Below are 16,280 nucleotides of genomic sequence, written 5' to 3'. Positions count from 1 at the left end.
TACTAAATACAAAAATTAGCTAAGTGTGGTGGCAGACACCTGTAATCCCAGCTACTTGGGAGGATGAGGCAGGAAAATTGCTTGAACCTGGGAGGTAGAGGTTGCAATGAGCCAAGTTCATGTCACTGCACTCCAGCCTCGGTGACAGAGCGAGATTCCATCTCAAAAAAATAAAAATAAATCATCAGATCTCGTGAGAACTCACTCACTATCACAGGAACAGCATGGAGGAAACCGGCCCCATAATCCAATCACCTCCCACCAGGTCCCTGGTCCCTCCTGAGGGACATGGGGATTACAATTCGAGATAAGATTTGGGTGGAGACAGAGCCAAACCATATCAAATATGAAACAAACATAGATCTTTCACAAAGTTAATGCCAAATGATTAATTTTATTGGTTGTTAATTCATTATTTCTACCTATAAGGGTCAAATGAGAGAGTTTTCCCATTCAAGCAAATTGGGGCTATTAGCAGAAGCTAGTTGATTTAACCACACCAAATAAGCAGGGTTATCTGCTCAGTGGCTGATATTGAACCAGAAGCTTTTGACAAAGATACCTCTGGAGCAGCCAACAACTAAGATACTTTCTCAGACACAGAGGCAACTTTCGTCCTATTGTACAGTCACTTTGCAATTAGAGACCCTAACCCCATTCTTCTCCAAGTGGGGTTGTCTCATAGACCCCCATTCCCTGGGTGCAAGTTATACATTATCTAATAATACCCAAGATTGGATTCAATTATCTACTGCTTGATTCTAGTCTTAATTATTTTCATATTTTTCTTCTTGGTTAGGGATATAACACTTACAGATATCTTAAAGATATCCAATTCGGGCTGGGCACTGTGGCTTACACACGTAATCCCAACACTTTGAGAGGCCTAGGTGGGCGGATCACCTGAGGTCGGGAGTTCAAGACCAGCCTGACCAACATGGAGAAACCCTGCCTCTACTAAAAATACAAAATTAGCTGGGTGTGGTGGTGCATGCCTGTAATCCCAGCTACTCGAGAGGCTGAGGCAGGAGAATCACTTTAAGCCAGGAAGCAGAGGTTGCGGTGAGCCGAGATCGTGCCATTGCACTCCAGCCTGGGCAACAAGAGTGAAACTCTGTCTCAAACAAACAAACAAAGATATCCAATTCAGTCATGTATATCTTTCTTTGTTTTACATGCTAATGACAGTAGTCTTTTACTTTCATGGCAACTCTTCTGCTTACTATATGATAGGAATGGCCTGGGTAAAGGATATGCTTTATAGATCTCTGGAGTTAGCTCTTTAATGCTTCCCTCCCCTCTTCTGCCCTGCTTTTGAGTGGTGTGCCTTAGCTTGTGAAGGATTGGTTGAGGATGACTTAGGTTGAGGGGGTCTGGGCTGAGAAGGCTTAGACTGGGGAGGCCAGGGCTGGCTTGGCTTAGGCTGAGTAGATTTGCATGGAGAAGGTTTAGTTTGGGAGGGCTGGGACTGACAGGATTTTGTCTGAGAGGATTTAGGTTGAGAGGGCACAGAATGGAAGGGTTTAGGCTGGGAGTGTTTGACTGTGGATGGGTTGGACTGATCGGATTTGAACTGAGAGCTCTTGCACATGGGATGGGACCCTATTTGGAGAGCTGGATTTGAAGCCCCACCTTGTGTCTTCATCTGGACTCCTTGCTGAGAAGCAGGTCTTAGTTTTTGTGTGGCTGCTGCTGGTTGAAAGGACTGAGGGTGAGGCTTTCCAATATGGGATGTTCTTATCAGTTTTCCAGTTGCTTCAGTTAACTCTGTTACCCTGGTGCAAGCTTGCTGAGGCCATGGCTTCCCTACTGCTCTTGCTGGCTGTGAATCCAGGGAATAGGAGTGACCTATCTTGGAGGCTACTGCCCTAGACCTTTCAAGAGTTCCCATCATTTGTGGTCTCTCAGGGCAGGCCTGTACATGCTGACAAATGGGTCTTGGCAGTCTCCCAAATGTTCCATTCGAGTGACATCCCCGAGCAACTCTGGAAAATTTCATGAATCTTTCACCTGAATAAAATATCTGGGGATGGAAGGATTGAATACCAAAACTTTTACCTCGGCCCTGGGCCCCTGCATTCTGAAAAGGCAAAGGATGGAACCACTTAGGCCTCTGCTCTGACCCAAAGGGGCGGCCCATAACCCAGGAGGCTTTCAAGGAAACATGGTTAAAGTTACCTCCAATTCTGGTTGGAAAGAGCCAGGAGTTCTCTAGAACAGGCCTGAATACTGGGGTACCATAGAGATTCTGAAGATTCTGGCTGAGCTCACATTGAGTCCCAGGCTCTTGAATTGGCATTAGAGCCTGGCTTTTAGATGAGCTTTTTAGCTGACTGTGTCTTTGCTGACCCTCACCTTCAGCTGTCCCAGCCATGTTTTCTCCAGAGGAAACTTGAATTCTCTGAGTGTTTTCAAAGTCTTCATCTACCTGAATCCCCAGCTCCCTGGCCAGGGCGGCCATATCCTCCACAGACACACATCTGAGGCAAGAAGAGAACATCACTTCCTGGAGGGCAGCTTGAAGGCCCTCCATGTTCTTCCTTCTATCCCCAGCATCTCCCCTCTCCCAAAACAGTAGCTGTGCTGGCTTCAAGTTCAGTATCCTCTGAAAAATTTGAGCCTCTTCACTCTCCCTGGCTTGGGAACTGAGAACAAAGTAGCATCTTTCAATGGCAGCCTCTCCTAAAAACATTAGCAAGTCCCATTCCTTCTCACCTAAACAGTCAGTGAAAAAAAACACAGCTGAAGAAACTTCCATCAAAAAACCAAACTGAGTCCAAAAGCTTTCTAGATTTCCACGGAGATTAGCCAGAGCAACAGGCTTTTGGAAAAAGGGGTTTTCCTTTCTATCATCGCTATCAGGAAAACACCATGTTATCTCAACCAGGCCATCAGAGATTTGCCGGGGAAGCACCAAAAGAGGCAAATCTTGATGAAGAAAGATTTTGTGTAATTTCAACTGGGCAGGGCTGAGAAGTGTGTTGAGGATTCTGGACTTAGAGAAGCTACAGTATCCTAGACGCACAAAAGAGATGACAGGCATCTTCATGAGAGTCAGAAACTTTTCTGTATCCTCTGTAGGCCCCCCTGAAAACTGTGTTGACTGCTTCTTCACAATGTCTTTCATGGCCCCCAGCATTAAGATGCTTTTGTTGTTTTCTGCATCTGGCAGTAGCAGGGGAAGAGCAAACTGGCACTGATACATGTTTGACATGACTTGGCGTTGCAAAGAGCTATCTGAACACAGCATGGTGGCACAAAGCACGTCAAGGGGATTAATGGTTTGTATGTCTCGAATTTCCAAATTCTCCACTCCAGCCAGCAAATCCTCCTTGCTATCTTCATCCAGAACCTTGTGACTGAGGATTGAATCCCTAGCCGTCACATCTCGTGCTTGAACTTTCATCAGGAAATTCCAGGCTAAGTCTCCTGGACTCTCAGGGGTCCACTTACATCCTCGATCTAAGGAGAATTGTTTAACAAAATCTGGCAGAACCTTTCTGCTTCTATCCATGTTCAAACATAACAGGACATCTTTAAACACCTTTTTTCTTTCTGTAGGAGAGAAGATAATAGTGAATGCCATGTTCAGAGTTTCAATTTTCCCCATCGACTTCTTTTTTTGAGACAGTCTCACTCCATCACCTAGGCTGGAATCCAGGGGCATGATCATCACCCTGGGCTCAAGCAATCCTACCATCTTAGCCTCCCAAGTAGCTGAGACTACAGTCACCCACCACCATGCCTGGCTACTTTTTTTTTTTAATAGAGATGGGGTCTTTCTATGTTGCCCAGGCTGACTCTGAACTGATCTCAAGCGAAACTCCCAAAGTGCTGGGATTACAGGCATGAGTCACTGTGCCCAGCCTGACTTTTAAAATTAAGTCATCTGCATTATTTTTTGCTTTGAGGCAGAGTTTGAAAGAAAACTGTCACCCAGGCTGGAGTGCAATGGAGCCATCTCAGCTCACTGCAACCTCCACCTCCTGGGTTCAAGCTATTCTTGTGTCTCAGCCTCCCAAGTAGCTGGGACTACAGGTGTATGCCACCATGCCCGGCTAATTTTTGTATTTTTAGTAGAGATGGGATTTCACCATGTTGGCTAGGCTGGTCTTGAACTAGACTCAAGTGATCAGCCTGCCTCAGCCTCCCAAAGTGCTAGGATAGACATAAGCCCCTACACCCGGTCTAATCTACATTTTCACTGCAAAAAGCTGAAACAATATAAATAAAGTGGAAGTCTCCTTTCACCATTCTGGCAAGTCAGCTTCGTTTTTAGGGGAGATATCAATATGGTACAGTATGTTTGCTTCCCATCCTTTTTCTATGCAAGTACTTAAGTATGCATGCATATATAGAAATATATAGTTTTACTTAGTAGATTCTATTTTTTTTTTTTAGATGGAGTCTGGCTCTGTTGCCCAGGCTAGGGTGCAGTGGCAAGATCTCAGCTCACTGCAACATCCACCTCCTGGGTTCAAGTAATTCTCCCAGCCTCAGCCTCCCGAGTAGCTGGGATTACAGGCATGTGCCACCACACCAAGCTAATTTTTGTATTTGTAGAGATGGGGTTTCACCATGTTGGCCAGGCTGGTCTCGAACTCCTGACCTCAAGTAATCCACCTGCCTCAGCCTCCCAAAATGAGGGATTACAGGCATGAGCCACCGTGCCCAGCCCATGCTATTTTTTTTTACATAAATGATATTATACTAAACAAATGATTCTTCAGCTTCTTTTCACTTAGTGGTATTCCTTGCAAATTATTTCAAGTCAGCATATATACTGATCTACCTAACTCATTTTAGCTATTTCATGGTACTCCATGGTTTGGATGGATGTAACTATTTAACAATTGCCTATGGATGATCATTTAGGTTTTTTATTTAAAAAAATGTGCTAACATTTACATGCAGCAATGAAAAAAAAATTTATTAATGTTAAATTATATACATCTATGAGAAATACTCTAGGTTGATACTGGTTTTTTTTTTTTTTTTTTTTTTTTTGGAGACGGAGTCTCACTCTGTCACCAGGCTGGAGTGCAGTGGCTCGATCTCGGCTCACTGCAACTTCCGCCTCTCGGGTTCAAGTGATTCTCCTGTCTCACCCTCCCGAGTAGCTGGGACTACAGGCGCCCGCCGTCACACCCAGCTAATTTTTTTTTTTTTTTTGTATTTTAGTAGAGATGGTTCACTGTGTTGCCCAGGCTGGTCTCGAACTCCTGAGCTCAGGCAATCCACCCTCCTCAGCCTCCCAAAGTGCTAGGATTACAGGTGTGAGCCACTGTGCCTGGCTTTTTTTTTTTTTTTTTTTTGAGATGGAGTGTCACTCTGTCACCCAGGCTGGAGTGCAGTGGCACGATCTCAGCTCACTGAAACCTCCACCTCCTGGGTTCAAGCGATTCTCCTGCCTCAGCCTCCCAAGTAGCTGGGACCATATGCGGGTGCCACCACACCTGGCTAATTTTTTGTATTTTTAGTAGAGACAGGGTTTCACTATGTTAGCCAGGATGGTCTCGATCTCCTGACCTCGTGATGCGCCTGCCTCGGCCTCCCAAAGTCCTGGGATTACAGGCGTTAGCCACCGCACCTGGCCGATACTGGTTCTTTCTTAAATTTATCTCTTGCTGAAGTTTACAGGAACTGAAGATTTTATTTCCTTCAAAGTTTTTCTCGGAGTTTACATGCTATACCTAATTTTTCCTGATCTCCCATTTTCCAAACTATCTTCTACCTACTTTTTTTTTTTGAGACAGGGTCTTGTACTGTTACCTAGGCTGGAGTGCAGTGGTGCAATCTCAGCTCACTGCAGTCTCAACTTCCTGGGTTCAGGTGATCCTCCTGCCTCAGCCTTTGGAGTAGCTGGGACCACAAGTGCACACCATCAACCCCACCTAACTTTTCATTTCTTCATTTTGTAGAGACAGGGTCTCACCATTTTGCCCAGGCTGGTCTCAACTCCTGGGCTCAATTAATCTGCCTGCCTCAGCCTCCCAAAGTGTTGGGATTGTAGGCATGAGCCACCCTGGCTGGCCTACCTACATCTTATAAATACAGAGATAGTACATAACAGAGAGAGAAGATCAGCCTAGATTTTCTACTCCTGACAGACGGCCAGCTAGTGTAAAAATGTAAAATTACCCTTAAAAATAGCTTTGAAGAAACAACAGAAATAAGAGAAAAGCATAGATTTTAGGAATTAATAAAAGTAACTATAAGAAGCCCTTGAGTAGTCTCAAAGTTGCTTGAACTGATATATGTGTTGGGGCAAAAAGGTGAGGGGGAAGTTGAATCTAGCATGAAGAAAGAGTTCACAGAGGAAGCAGTGAGAGAATAGGTTGCAGGACAGCTTTTAAGTTCTGCTTTTTCCTGTCTCATACTTTGCCTTAGGAAAGCAATTCTCTACTTCTTCAGCCAGAAATTCGTACCCATGGCTGGGTGCAGTGGCTCGCACCTATAATCCCAGCACTTTGGGAGGATGAGGTCGGCAGATCACCTGAGGTCAGGAGTTCGAGACCAGCCTGGCCAACATAATGACACCCCGTCTCTACTAAAAATACAAAAATTAGCCAGGTGTGGTGGCAGGTGCCTGTAGTCCCAGCTACTCAGGAGGCTGAGGCAGGAGAATCACTTGAACCCAGGAGGTGGAGGTTGCAGGGTTGCAGTGAGCCAAGATTGTGGCCCTGCACTCCAGCCTGTCATCTCAAAAAAAAAGAAAGACATCAATACCCACAGGATCCAAGCCAGGTGTGTCGACAAGGTAATAACAGTGTCACTATGGAGCAGATCAAAGCAACAGAGTAGATGTACACACAAAACAGAGATGTATCTAATTAAGCACAGAGCTAGGTGAAAAAAGTAAGCAATAATATCAGGAAACTAATCTCAATTTTATAAATTAAAAATTCATAAAAATAACTCAGCTAAGGCAAAAAGAAATAAACAGAGATTTCAGCTGCCACCCATGGAAAAGGAGTCTAAATTTTGAATTTAAATACAGTTAGGTTAACTGGAGACAAAAACAGACTAAAATAATATTCAGACTCTTGGGAGAAATATAACAATCTAGAGTCTCTATGACCTATTATATACAATGGATAGAACACAATCCAAAGCTAATAGACATAGGAAGAAACAAGAAATGTAACTCATACTCAATGGACACTGAATCCAAAATGACCTAGATGTTAGATTTAGCATATAAGAATTTTACAGTCAGGCATGGTGGCTCATGCCTGTAATTCCAAAACAGTGGGAGGCTGAGGCAGGAGGATCACTTGAGCCCAGGAGTTCAAAACCAGCCTGGGCAACATCGTGAAAACCCTGTCTCTACAAAAAATACAAAATTAACCAGGCCTGGCGGTCTGTGCCTGTAGCCCTAGCTACTTGAGAGGCCGAGGTGGGAGGATGGCTTGAGCCTCAGCCTAGGAGACTGAGGCTGCAGTGAGCCAAGATTGTGCCACTGCACTCTAGCCTGAGCAACAGAGTAAGACTCTGTCTCAAAAAAAAAAAAAAAAACAATTAAAATTAAGTAAGTCCACAATGAATGATTAAATAGGAATTCTCAGAAAAAAATATAAAGTATTTTTAAACAGGAAATTCTGGAATTAAAAATCACAATATATGAATTTGTTTAAAATCACTAGATGGGCTAACAACAAATTGGAGATGACAGAAGAAAGTAAATATCTAACCTGAAGAACAGAGAGAAAAAATATTAAAGAAAACTGAGCAAAGTCTCTGGAACCTGTAGAACAATATTTTTAAAACTCTAAAATTCATGTACTCGAAGTCTCAGAAAGAGAGAAGAGAAGAAGTGAGAAAGAAAAAAATCTCGGTAAATAACAGCTGAAAAGTTTCCAAATTTGATTAAAAGTTTTTGTATAGATTCAGGAAACTCTGCAAACACTAAGAGAAAAAAAAAATCACCCCAGACACATCAGAGTCAACTGCTCAAAAAAAATTAAGAAAAAATCTTGAAAACAACCAGAGATAAATGACACAGCACTTACAGAGGATCAATGATAAAATGACTGAAGATTTAGCATCAGAAACAATGGAAGCTAAAAGACAGAGGAATGGCATCCATAACATGTTAAAGGCAAAAGTTGTAGAATCCTATATCCAGCAAAAGCAACCTTCTGGAATGAAGGCAAAATAAAAATATCTTTCAATAAACAAAAACTAAGAGAATTTACCACCAGCAGACTTGTACTAAGAGAAAAAATAAATAAATTTTTCAGGCTAAAGGAAAATAATATAAAATGAAAACCTGGATCTTCAGGAAAAAAGAAAGGCCACAGGGAAAGGTAAACATATTGGTTCCACCCAATGGTTGAACCCAACAACAAGCTGGAGGGGGAAGAGAGTCAATTGATACTGTCTATACAAGTTGAACTTCTATAGTGCAGAGCACACAAGGCAATAGTTTAAGCCTTTCTGAGACTGTGACACTGTGATATTTTTTACATAAAATTTCACATGACAAAGAGCATGAAGACCTTCCTTTGATTTAGAACTATTTTTTTCATTTCTCAGCTGCACAGACAAATATTACTTGGGAAAGAAACAAAGAATAGCCACGTGCCTCCAGTCAACTAGAGTGGATGGGCAGCCATTAGAATTACATTGCAGATCATAACTACATTATTATTAAGACTTCTCTTGATCTGTTTTACTAAAGATGTTAGACTGATTGTAATAATGTCCCCAGTTAATGGCTTTCTGGTATCCATAGTCTTTGCTATCTTATTTTGCAAGAAGTAGAACTTGTTTTCCCCCAACCCTAAACCTGGCTTTGAGACTTGCTTTGGTCAACAGAATGTGGCAGAAGTAATGGTGTTATGGGTTGAATTTTGTCCCCCTCAAAAAGATATGAAGTCCCCCAGTAATGCAGAATGTGGCTTTATTTTGTAAATAGCATCTTTATCTTTACAGAGGTAATTAAGTTAAAATAAGGTCATGGAGGGGGGCCTAAATCAGTATAATTGGTGTCTTAATAAAAAAGAAAAATTTAGACACAGAGACATGCACAGAGGATAGATGATGTGAAGAGACACAGGGAGAAAATGGCCATCTGTAAGTCAAGGAATGCACGAAGCTACCAGGGGCTAGGAGAGAAGCCTGAGACAAATCCTTTCCTAGCACCTCCAGAGGGAGCATGACCCTCCTGATACCTTGATATCAGGCTTCTGGCCTCCTGAACTGTGAGACAAGAAATTTTTGTTGTTCTAAAGCCACTCATTTGTGGTACTTTGTTACAGCAGCCCTAGGAAACAGATACAGATGGCATAGATGGCATGATGATCGTTCTAAAGCTAAGACTCAAAAGGCCTTCACTACTTCTCTGTCTCCCCCCCTCCACCTTGCTCTCTCTCCCTTTCTCTCTCCTTTACCCTCATCATAAGAATATACTTGGCCAGGCGCGGTGGCTCATGTCCATAATTCCAGCACTTTGGGAGGCCGAGGTGGGTGGATCACCTGAGGTCAAGAGTTCGAGACCAGCCTGGCCAACATGGTGAAACCCCATCTCTACTAAAAATACAAAAATTAGCCAGGCGTGGTAGTGGGCACCTGTAATCCCAGCTACTCAGGAGGCTGAGGCAGGAGAATCGCTTGAACCCAGGAGGCAGAGGTTGCAGTGAGCCAAGATCATGCCACTGCACTCCAGCCTGGGCAACAGAGTGAGCCTCCATCTCAAAAAAAAAAAAAAGAATATACTGCATCTATTCTGAAAACAAGCCCAGAGTAGCCTGCTTGAAGATGAGAGACCAGCCTTCAACCACCTCATCACAGATGCATGAGTGAACCCAGGGAAGACCAGCAGAACTGCCCAGCCAACCACAGACATGTGAACAATAATAAACTCTCAGTGTTTGAAGTGACTGAATTTTCAGATGATTTGTTATGTAGCATTATTGAGGCCAGGAGTTCAAGACCAGCCTGGGCAACGTGGTGAAACCCAGTCAGTACCTGATACAGAAAAAAAATTTCATGAAAACCAAACAATATGTAAGAGATGCACTGCAATATTAGAATGTTACCTACGGAAGAAGGTAAATGGGAAATGGAGAAAAAAACAGAATAGATAAACAGGGGATTTTTGCAGAATAATGATGATACTATGCAATGAATTAATTAATTCAACCCTATGCACCAACTAAAATAAATAAATAAAAATTAAGAATGGGGCCCCAAAATAATCATGTATTAAGAAGTTATTTGGGGGTGGGGCAAGAGGCATGGGTTGAATTATGTCCCTTACAAAATTCATATGTTGAAATCCTAACCCCCAGTACCTCAGAATGTGATGTTATTTGGAAATAGGGCCATTGCAGATGTAATTAGTTTTAATAATGTTATTAGGGTGGGCCCTAATCCAATATGACTGGTGTCCTTTTTTATTTTGGCCAAAGGGGTGCACACTCAGGGACAAGGACATTTGAAGGTGAAGGCATATCAGAGGGATGCTTGCACAAGCCAAGCAGTGTCAATGATTTCCAGCAAACCACCAGGAAAGCTAGGATCCTTCAGATCACATCCTTCAGAAGGAACCAACCCTTGTCCAGGCACAGTGGCTCATGCCTTAATCCCAGCATTTTGGGAGGCCAAGGTGGGTGGATTACTTGAGGTTAGGAGTTCGAGACCAGCCTGGCCAACATGGTGTAACCTCGTCTCTACTAAAACAACAAAAATTAGCCAGGCGTGGTGGCACGCACCTGTAATCCCAGCTACCTGGGGAGCTGAGGCAGGTGAATCGCTTGAACCCGGGAGGCGGAGGGTACAGTGAGCAAGGTCACACCATTGCACTCCAGCCTGGGCGACGAGTGAGACTCTGTTTCAAAAAAAAAAAAAAAAAAAGAAGGAAGCAACCCTGTCAGTACTTTGATACTTTGATTTCAGATTTCTAGCCTCCAAAAGAGTGAGACAAGAAATCTGTGTTTATTGTTTAAGCCACTGATTTTGTGGTATTTTGTTACAGCATCCCTCACAAACTGATACAAGGTGTGATGAGGAAGAAATGACTCTCTTCCTACCCATAAGTGGATTATGAGTCCCCAAGATTTGAAATTAATGTGAGATGGTAGCTACATTTTCATCCTCTACTCAGAACTTAGTGATGTCTGTTTTCCCAGGCAATATCACTCCAATGAAACACTTCTCATATTTTGAATTTTCATTAAGAAATATTCAGATTTGGCTAGGTGCAGTGGCTCACACCTGTAATCCCAGGATTTTGGGTGGCCAAGGTGGGCAGATCACTTGAGCCCAGGAGTTCGAGACCAGCCTGAGCAACATGGCAAAATCCCATCTTTACAAAATACAAAATTAGCCAGGCGTGGTGGCAGGCACCTGTAATGCTAGCTACTCAGGAGGCTGAGGTAGGAGGATCACCCGAGCCTGGGAGGTAGAGGCTGCGGTGAGTCATGATTGTGCCACTGCACTCCAGCCTGAGTGAGACCCTGTTTAAAAACAAATTTTTTTTAAATAAAGAAATATTCAGATTCAAGATACAAATATAATTCTCATCAAGATGGCATTATGTGGACTGGATCAAGCCAAGTAACAATATTTTGGGATCTTAGCCATTTACTGACTGTTTTCACTTAAATAGTCAAACCCATAATCCCCATATCTCTCTGGTCACAAAGGCACTAAAATAACTAAAGTGGTTTAACCTGAGAAATAGGTTAGCCTGAAATTAATGATTAGCAACTCCTCGTACGTATAATGGGAAATTAATGATTGGCAACTCCTTATACGAACTACAGAAATTTACAAACTGACAATCAATATTTACTTTTGCTTATGCTGTCCATCATTTCCTAGGTCCTGGGAGCTCCTTTAAGTCAACACCTACCTCGAGGAGATTCCAGGTCAGAGAGGCACGAGGAATTTCTTAGTAGTTGATTTTCTGCTGACATCTGTCCCTTTTTCATCCCCCATCCCCATTATGTCATGGCAAGCTTATTAACTTATTAAGTTGTTGCCTAACTAACTATACAAGATATTTCCATACCTTCTATACTTTTCTCCTGTTCCTCCTCCAATGAAAGGCTGGTTTCTGATCCCTCATAACTTGGTTCTTCACCAGAGAACTCTGTGGTTTCTGAATTCTCGAAGTCCTCTTCACCATCATATCCAACGTGCTCTGGGTCATCATAAACCTCCTCTTCCACAGTGGCTTCTGCATCTTCAGGGGTGTCAACAGATCCTAGATATTCCTCTTTTCCTAAGTATAAAGAATCATCTAGCTCCTCATATCTCTGTCCATCTTTTATATATGTAATAGTTGCTGGAACTTCACATCCAACTTTCTCAACTGAATATGATAATGTGACTTCTGGTGTGTCATATTCCTTCTCATTCTTCCTGGCAGACAAAGCTGTTTCCCTATAACTAGTTTTCTTGTCCCTGAAAAACTCAGAGGTTTCCAAATCCAAGTGTTCCTTCTCACTGAAGAACACTGTGATCTCAGGGGCTTCAGGCTGTTTTATTCCAGGAGAAAAAGCATCTTCTGAATTACTGCTTGCCCCCATAGATTGAGGAGGTACTGTATTCTCATGTTTTAAAACTTCTGCAAAGAAAAGAATTGTTTTTCCCAATTAAGAAAAAGAAGCTGTATAACAGCTAGAGTTCCTGAGGCCTCAAAGCTTCATCCCTCTCCTTTTATTTATTTATTTATTTTTTGAGACAGAGTTTCACTCTTGTTGCCGAGGCTGGAGTGCAATGGCACGATCTGGGCTCACTGCAACCTCAACCTCCCGGGTTCAGGTGATTCCCCTGCCTCAGTCTCCCAAGTAGCTGGGATTACAGGCATGCGCCATGATGCCCAGCTAATTTTTGTATTTTTAGTAGAGACAGTGTTTCACTATGTTGGTCAGGCTGGTCTCAAACTCCTGACCTCAGGTGATCCATCTGCCCCGGCCTCCCAAAGTGCTGGGATTACAGGTGTGAGCCACAGCGCCCAGCCACCTCTTATTTCACTGGAGGACAGGAATACCTAACACCTCCTATATAACTTGCATGTCAACATGTCAACTTTCAGAACTTTCTTTTTTCCACTAAAAAAAAAAATCAGATCACACCACTGTCTTGCTTAAAGTTTGAGTCCTTCCTAGCAACCTTACAGGGTAAGTGAATAAAACGAAAAATTTGAATCATATGAACAGTGTTTACTTGTGGACTTACTGTGACTCACAACAGACTCACGTCTCTTGGGGTCATTGCTAATGAAATCTGATCACAAATAATTTCTAATCAGTAAGCAAATGGCTCTATTTGGAATAGTGTGCTTTAGAAATAATAAAAGAAAAATTTCTAAGCATATAAATCTTGTCCTAAATTAGGTATCACTAACATTCACCTTTTTATCTGAGCCTCTACCTCTCTAACATCCCTTAAAATAATTTTGAATTTTTTTTTAGATTCCTAGAAAAAGAGCTAGACCTAGTCCTAGTAGTAATTTACAGAATTGCTAAATAACTGGAAGAATTGCTTTTTCATGGACTACTAGTTATCTTTGAACCATTTAAGAATTAGCACTGGAATTGCTCCAGAAAACAGCTGCTGCTGGCATTCTTATCACCAAAAAAATGAAACTACTGATTTGCCATCTATGTGTTAAAAATTATTTTCCTTGTATTTTCAAAACGGCTATACTAAGTGAAAGATACAGCTTGTGGTCTTGGCACTGTAAATATCCACGAATTCATCTACTTGAAAAACAAACCCTGGATTGTGTTATTATTAAAGTATTTTCCTTCCAACTGTGAGATTTTAGCATGTTACTGCCAGAATAATGAGCAGTTTGTTAGCACTAAAACAACTTCAAGTTTTGAGTACAGTCTGAAAAACAAATTATCGATTCAGTAGACCAATAAGATGTTAAATTTCAGAAACTTTTTAAATTCCAGTTTTTCCCTATTTCATATTTCAATGAAAATTATCTCCAGAAAAAGACTAACAAAAATAAAAGGCAACAATTTTCTTTCATTTTGTTTTCTTTTTCAGAAAGTCTGCCCCCTTCCTCTCACCCCAAAAAGTATACAAAGTCAACTTACCATGCCTTAAGCCGCAAATGGCAGCTGACTGTGGAAAAGTACTAAATAAACACTTGAGAAAATGCTGACAGGTCGCCTCTCCCTTTTTCTGTACCAAAATTAACAGCTTCCGACTTTTCTTCAGGAGATCTGTAACATTCTCCAGAGTCTCATACTCTTCCTCAGAAATCAGCCTCCGAGAAGTTAACGTGTCTAAGATAGAATCAGGATCATGTTGAAGGATTTCAAGCAACTTTTTTCTTTCTCTTTCTATGATCTCTGAGGGAGTACTCTCGGTAGCCATTGTTCCTGTTTCCTCTAAACCAGGAAATATATTATGAAATCATCCTAATGAATAAGTAAAAGTTAAAAAAAGAATGACAAAGAACAATTCTATTTGGCTAAGCTTTAACATGTCAATGATGCCTAGTGTTGGAGAGTGCAGATACAAGCACAGTGGGGCAACCCAGCTCGGAGCACTCTCTGATCCGGGGTCCTTGTGGATTATTTATCTGCTCTTTTGAAGTCTTGATAAATTCTCACCATGACTCAGACCCAGGGTCACCTCCTCCAAGAAGTCGCTCTTGAACTTCAGGTTGGACTAGGTATTCCCTGCTCAGAGAACTATACTATGATGCCAAGAATGTAAATTATTAATTGATATTTGGTGGGCAATATGGCAATATACAGCAATAAATAAATAAAGTTGAAGACAGACAAAAATAAAACTTCATATCCTTCAACCCAGCAATTCCAGTTCTAGGAAATTATCTTAAGGAAATAATTGAGCAAATGCCCGAAGATGTATGTACAAGAATCTGCATTACAACATTGTTTACAACAGTACAAAATTGAAAATAACCAAAGTTGGGGTTTAGGGAATAAATATTGACATGTCGACAGTGAAACACCAAAGAACTGTTAAAAAGGATAAAGTACATCTCTACATATTGACAAGTAATGATATCCATGATATATTGCTATGGAAACAGCAAGTTATAGATCTCATTTTTGTTTTAAAAAACTTAATGTGTATATAGTATATGTATATAATATGTATATGCAGATATGCATTATATTTTAAAGAAGACAAGAGATATCCCAAATTTTAACACTGGTTATCTCTGAGAATATGACTACAGGGAGATTTATACTTCCACTTTAAACATTACTATTTAATATTTTACATTTTTGGTTTTTTATTATTATTTATTTTAAGAAAATTACCTGGTTGGTCTTTATTTACTCCTTCATAGTTCACAAGAACCTGAAAGCGATCTGCATAACTAGCAACAGGATACTGGATGAATAAACTGTGATATTTCTTATAACATAATATTACATGGCATTCAAAAAGAATGAACTTCAGTGACCCACAATATAGAGAAATCATAACAATAGTAAGGAAAAACTGTAAATCCCAAAAGATTATATACAGTATGACAACCTTTTTAAAAGTTGAAAATAAACACACCCTTACATTTAAGAGTATACATGAAGTCATTAAAATTATACAAAACAAAAAGCAAAGAATGATAAATATGAAATTCAGAATGATGGTTACCTCGCATATGGGGAGCTTGGGGATGGGATGGGATTGGGGAGGAGATCATGGATGTCCTACAATGTAGGAGTTGGGCCTATCAGGGCTACTATATTGTTAAAGGTAAATAGCTAATATGTAAATAAAAGCAGAACATGCATGAACCAATGCTATTAGGAACCAAGGATAATGAGTAATACAATTCTGGTATCTCCAAGGTTAAAAAAGAATTTTAAAATCCTGGCTGGGCGAGGTGGCTCATGCCTGTAATCCCAGCACTTTGGGAGTCTGAGGAAGATCACTTGAGACCAGGAGTTTGAGGCCAACCTGAGCAACATAGCAAGACCCTGTCTCTACAAAAAATTTAAAAATTATCTGGTCGTGATGGTGCGCATCTGTAGTCCCAGCTGCTTGGGACAGGAGGCTGAGGCAGGAGAGCTGCTTCGGCCCAGAAGTTTGAGGTTGTAGTAAGTTACTCTAGCCTAGGCTCTTAAAAAAAAAAATCCTCATATGATATTAAAAATTAATATTAGGTAAGAGTTTTATAAAATTGAAGAGTTTTAAAATTTTTATTTACTTTGACCAATTATAATCATATATAGTTATGGGATATTCAGTAATTTTATATGTATGCAGTATGGAATGATTCACTCAAATTAACATATACATCACCTTCAATACTTATAATTTATTCC

At 41.1% G+C, this 16,280-nt stretch overlaps 1 protein-coding gene across 3 annotated transcripts; it reads right to left on the bottom strand.

Annotated features, from left to right (window-relative positions):
* Positions 1-374: 374 nt before the first annotated feature.
* On the bottom strand, positions 375-14,362 carry CARD6 (caspase recruitment domain family member 6). 3 transcript variants are annotated; one of them, NM_032587.4, is made up of 3 exons: positions 14,064-14,362; positions 12,020-12,577; positions 375-3,555 (listed from the first exon to the last, which is right to left on the bottom strand). In NM_032587.4, exons 1-3 carry the CDS (start codon positions 14,344-14,346, stop codon positions 1,283-1,285), a joined length of 3,114 nt encoding a protein of 1,037 aa, NP_115976.2. In that variant the 5' UTR covers positions 14,347-14,362; the 3' UTR covers positions 375-1,282. The 3 variants fall into 3 exon arrangements, with proteins under 3 accessions (NP_115976.2, XP_047273792.1, XP_016865478.1); XM_047417836.1 differs by lacking the exon at positions 14,064-14,362 and adding an exon at positions 10,719-10,834 and having other exon boundaries at positions 12,020-12,095; XM_017009989.2 differs by lacking the exon at positions 12,020-12,577.
* Between the last annotated feature and the right edge of the window lie 1,918 nt (positions 14,363-16,280).

The sequence above is a fragment of the Homo sapiens genome, chromosome 5, assembly GCF_000001405.40.
Source record: "Homo sapiens chromosome 5, GRCh38.p14 Primary Assembly".
Taxonomy (NCBI): domain Eukaryota; kingdom Metazoa; phylum Chordata; class Mammalia; order Primates; family Hominidae; genus Homo; species Homo sapiens.
This window is presented reverse-complemented; position numbering and strand designations above follow the sequence as displayed.

What these genes read in the sequence shown, in the direction of transcription:
- CARD6 (NM_032587.4), bottom strand. Translation starts at nt 14,346, where the DNA reads ATGGCTACCGAGAGTACTCCCTCAGAGATCATAGAAAGAGAAAGAAAA. An exon ending in CATTTGCGGCTTAAGGCATG is followed by an intron (nt 12,578 to 14,063) that starts GTAAGTTGACTT and finishes TTTTCTTTGCAG; the next exon opens with AAGTTTTAAAACATGAGAAT. An exon ending in ACAGGAGAAAAGTATAGAAG is followed by an intron (nt 3,556 to 12,019) that starts GTATGGAAATAT and finishes TCTCTCCTACAG; the next exon opens with AAAGAAAAAAGGTGTTTAAA.